Source organism: Homo sapiens, chromosome X, assembly GCF_000001405.40.
Source record: "Homo sapiens chromosome X, GRCh38.p14 Primary Assembly".
Lineage (NCBI taxonomy): Eukaryota > Metazoa > Chordata > Mammalia > Primates > Hominidae > Homo > Homo sapiens.
This window is the reverse complement of record NC_000023.11, coordinates 79321698-79325764: the sequence shown is the minus strand read 5'-3', so window position 1 is coordinate 79325764 and position 4067 is coordinate 79321698. Positions and strand designations below refer to the sequence as shown.

Sequence of the window (4067 nt, the reverse complement as noted above, 5' to 3'; positions counted from 1 at the left end):
GGCAGGCACCGAGCTAGCTGCAGGAGGTTTTTTGTTTTGTTTTGTTTTGTTTTTCATACCCCAGTGACACTTGGAATACCAGAAAGGCAGAACCATTCACTCCCCTGGAAACAGGCTGAAGCCAGGGAGCCAAGTGGTCTAGCTCAGTAGATCCCACCCCACAGAGCCCAGCAAGCTAAGATCCACTGGCTTGAAATTCTCACCGCCAGCACAGCAGCCTGAAGTCAACCTAGGATGCTCGAGCTTGGTGGAGGGAGGAGCCTCCACCATTACTGAGGCTTGAGTAGGTGGTTTTCCCTTCACAGTGTAAACAAAGCCGCTGGGAGGTTTGAACAGGGTGGAGCCCAACACAGCTCAGCAAAGCCACTGTAGCCAGACTGCCTCTCTAGGTTCCTCCTCTCTGGGCAGGGCATCTCTGAAAGAAAGGCAGCATTCCCAGTCAGGGGCTTATAGACAAAACTCCCATTTCCCTGGGACAGAGCACCTGGGGGAAAGGGGGGGCTGTGGGTGCAACTTCAGCAGACTTAAACGTTCCTGCCTCCTGGCTCTGAAGAGAGCAGTGGATCTCTACATTTTCTTTCCATTTCTGGTCTTCCTAAGCCTCCACTAGCTTTTGAAGATCCAGTTTTCTGGCTGCATGCTGCCTTAGCTCTTCTAGCTTGGTGTTAATTTTTTTTTTTTTTTTTTTTTTTTTTTGAGACGTTGTCTCGCTCTGTCGCCCAGGCTGGAGTGCAGTGGCGCGATCTGGGCTCATTGCAAGCTCAGCCTCCCAGATTCACGCCATTCTCCTGCTTCAGCCTCCCGAGTAGCTGGGACTACAGGCGCCTGCCACCACCACGCCCGGCTAATTTTTTGTATTTTTAGTAGAGAGGGGTTTCACCGTGTTAGGCAGGATGGTCTCAATCTCCTGACCTCGTGATCCGCCCGCCTTGGCCTCCCAAAGTGCTGGGATTACAGGCGTGGGCCACCGCGCCCAGCAGCGTTCATTTTTTTCATTCACTTGCTCTGTCAAAATGATCCTCTCTAACATTTGGGCTGTCTGACCAGCTGCCTCACTCAGACCACGACTTTTAATTTTTTATTCTCCATCAGGGATTGTAGATTTTCTGATGGTTACACATTTATAGATCCAGGCAGGGTACCTCCATGGGCTTGTAGGAACCAGACTTGTAGCTGTTGTACCTGTTGCTTTAGATGATTAAGTTCAACTATCTGGCGATCAGTATTAACAACAGGTTTGTTCCTGGTTTTTCTTGCTCTGTCAGCATAGCGAAGGGTATTTAGTTTCCTCTAGATTGGAGCCAGCAGGACTCACACAGCCTATTATAAGAGTATGGTTATTACCACTTAGAGAACCTTGAAGCAGTCGAGCCAACTTGGAATCTCCGTAGGACACAAAGTCACCCTTTTTGTCTTCTCCAAGAGCACTGATTACATTTCCCAAGCATAGAAGGCCTCGGTTAATATTAATACCCTCTTTTAGATGATCCCCTTCAGCCTTGGTTTTCTTCTCTCTTTCTGATCCAGCGAGGTCTACAAGATGTAGCTTGGAGCGAAAGCTGCTATTCTTGTCACTTTTCTTTCTCTGCTCTATGGAGATTGTAAAGATGGCATGAGATTGGGATGACTGGGGGTTCATAGCTGTGGAGGCCACAGTCCTAAAGTTGTTGCGCTGCTCCAAATAGGAAACAGTATCCAAGGCAACTAAAACAGTCTGCTCAGTGAGTATCACAATCTTTATGCTATAGAATACACATTCTTTTCCTGAGTACATGGATCATTCTCAAGGATAGATCATAAGGTATGCCACAAAACAAGGCTTAAAACATTAAAAAAAAATAAAATAATATGAAGTATCATCTGTAATCACAAAGGAATAAAATTAGAAATCAATAACCTTAGGATCTTCCCATATATTTATTTGAGCTTTCTCACAAGAAGGGCATAGAAGATCCAAAATTTCTTCACTGTAAATCTTTAAGTAAGACATGTTCAGAGTAAATTCCAAGTCACTCTTTTTATCAATTTCTTTGAAGAGCAGTTGTATTACCCTAGGAATAACCCCAACTGTTGATTCCTTCTCTTTCTCTGCAGTGTATGCACCTCCCATTGAATATGTGTTTTTCCAGAGCAAGTCTGCCCATAGGCCAGGACCGTTGCATTATATCATTTAAATATGCCTTTTATGAGTGGTGCTACTGCTGTATTGAAGACTTCTTCCTGTTCACTACTGGGGTCAAACACAAAATCATAGTTCAAGGATTTATCAGTACCAACCACTACCTGAGGCTCCCTGGGCACGAAGGAAAGGCATATCTGGCAGCAGCCCTCGATAATCTCTTTGGGGACCAGAGGGCAACAACACAGCGCCACTCTTATAAGAATTCCCTTCACCTCTTCCTTCATGATCCTATCTCAGCACCGCCTCAAACTCAATGTCTTTTCTTGGTTCTCCCCAGGTCTCCCCTTACTACAGTTTCTTTATCCAGTTCACTGTTGATGGGGATCTGGGTTGATTTCATGTCTTTGTTATTGTGAATAGTGCTGCAATAAACATATGAGTACATGTGTTTTTTGGTAGAAAAATATATATTATAAAGGTGACCAGGGGCGGTAGCTCACACCTGTAATCCCAGTACATTGGGAGGCTGAGGTGGGAGGATCCCTTGAACTTGGGAGTTCAAGACCAGTCTGGCCCATATGGTGAAACCCTGCCTTTACTAAAAACACAAGAAAAATTAGCCAGGAGTGGTGGCATACACCTATAATCCCAGCTATTCAGGTTGCTGAGGCAAAAGAATCCCTTGGACCTGGGAAGAGGGGTTGTAGTGAGCTGAGATTGCACCACTGCACTCCAGCCAGGGTGATGAAGTGAGGCTCTGTCGAAAAAAGAAAGAGAAAGAAAGAAAGAAAGAAAGAAAGAAAGAAAGAAAGAAAGAAAGAAAGAGAGAGGGAGAGAGAGAGAGAGAAAGAAAGAAAGAAAGAAAGAAAGAAAGAAAGAAAGAAAGAAAGAAAGAAAGAAAGAAAGAAAGAAAGAATTTATTTTTGAAAGGAATATCTTAAACAGCTCTATGCACACAAAGTTGATAATCTTCATGAAATGGACAAAGTTCTTGAAAGACACAATCTGCCATGTCTCACACCAAAAAAATTACATAATCTGAATAGGCTTATATATATTAAAGGAATTGAGTAAGTTATTAATGATATTAATATTTAACAATAATAGATACAATATAAGTTTTAGGGATAAGAAATACGATTTAACCAGAAATAAAAAAAATTGTTTAAATTATAAAGACAATTGTGCAAAACTCTTAACCCACTCTAACAATCAGTGTCCAAAGAAAAAGTAAATGGCATACTCAAAGGGTTTAACTGAAAAAAGTTTAATGAAAAGATTATTTAGAAACATAAAAGCAGGGTGATATATTTTATACATATACCACATTTTGTTTTTTCCAATAATCAACTGATGGAAATTTGTGTTGTTTCCACTTGTGGGATACTATGTATAATGCTGCCATGAAAATTTTTGTACAAGTTTTGTTGTGGATATATGTTTTTATTTCCCTTAGGTAGATACTAGGAATGGAATTGCTGGGTCATATGGTAGCTTTATGTTTAACTTTTCCAGGAACTGCTAGCCTGTTTCTGAAAAGGCTGCACCTTCCCGTTCATTTTTCAACTCTAGCATAACTCTGATAGTCAAGACTGAAAAAATATGTTGAAGTTTCTTAAGGCTTGATTCTGGGTCTTTCCCCATCTCAGCATTGGACCCATCTTACAAATTCTGAATTTGAATAAATTGAGGTCAATCTTGCACTTTCTGCTAAAAAAATAAAAATAAAATAAAAACTAAATAAAAAAACTAAATAAAAATAAAAAACAGCCTCACTACTTTCTTATTTTGTTCAGTGGTTACTTATTCAACAAGAAAAACACTACTTGATCAGCAAAATTGAATAAATGATTGGAATGAAAAATACACAGAAGAAAAATCAGACAAATAAATAATAATCCAATAATTGACGAGATACAAATTACAGTAGAAAGTTTTTCACCTG

At 40.8% G+C, this 4067-nt stretch overlaps 1 pseudogene; it reads right to left on the bottom strand.

The window, feature by feature from the left end:
• Nucleotides 980-2466, bottom strand: KIF4CP (kinesin family member 4C, pseudogene; annotated as a pseudogene).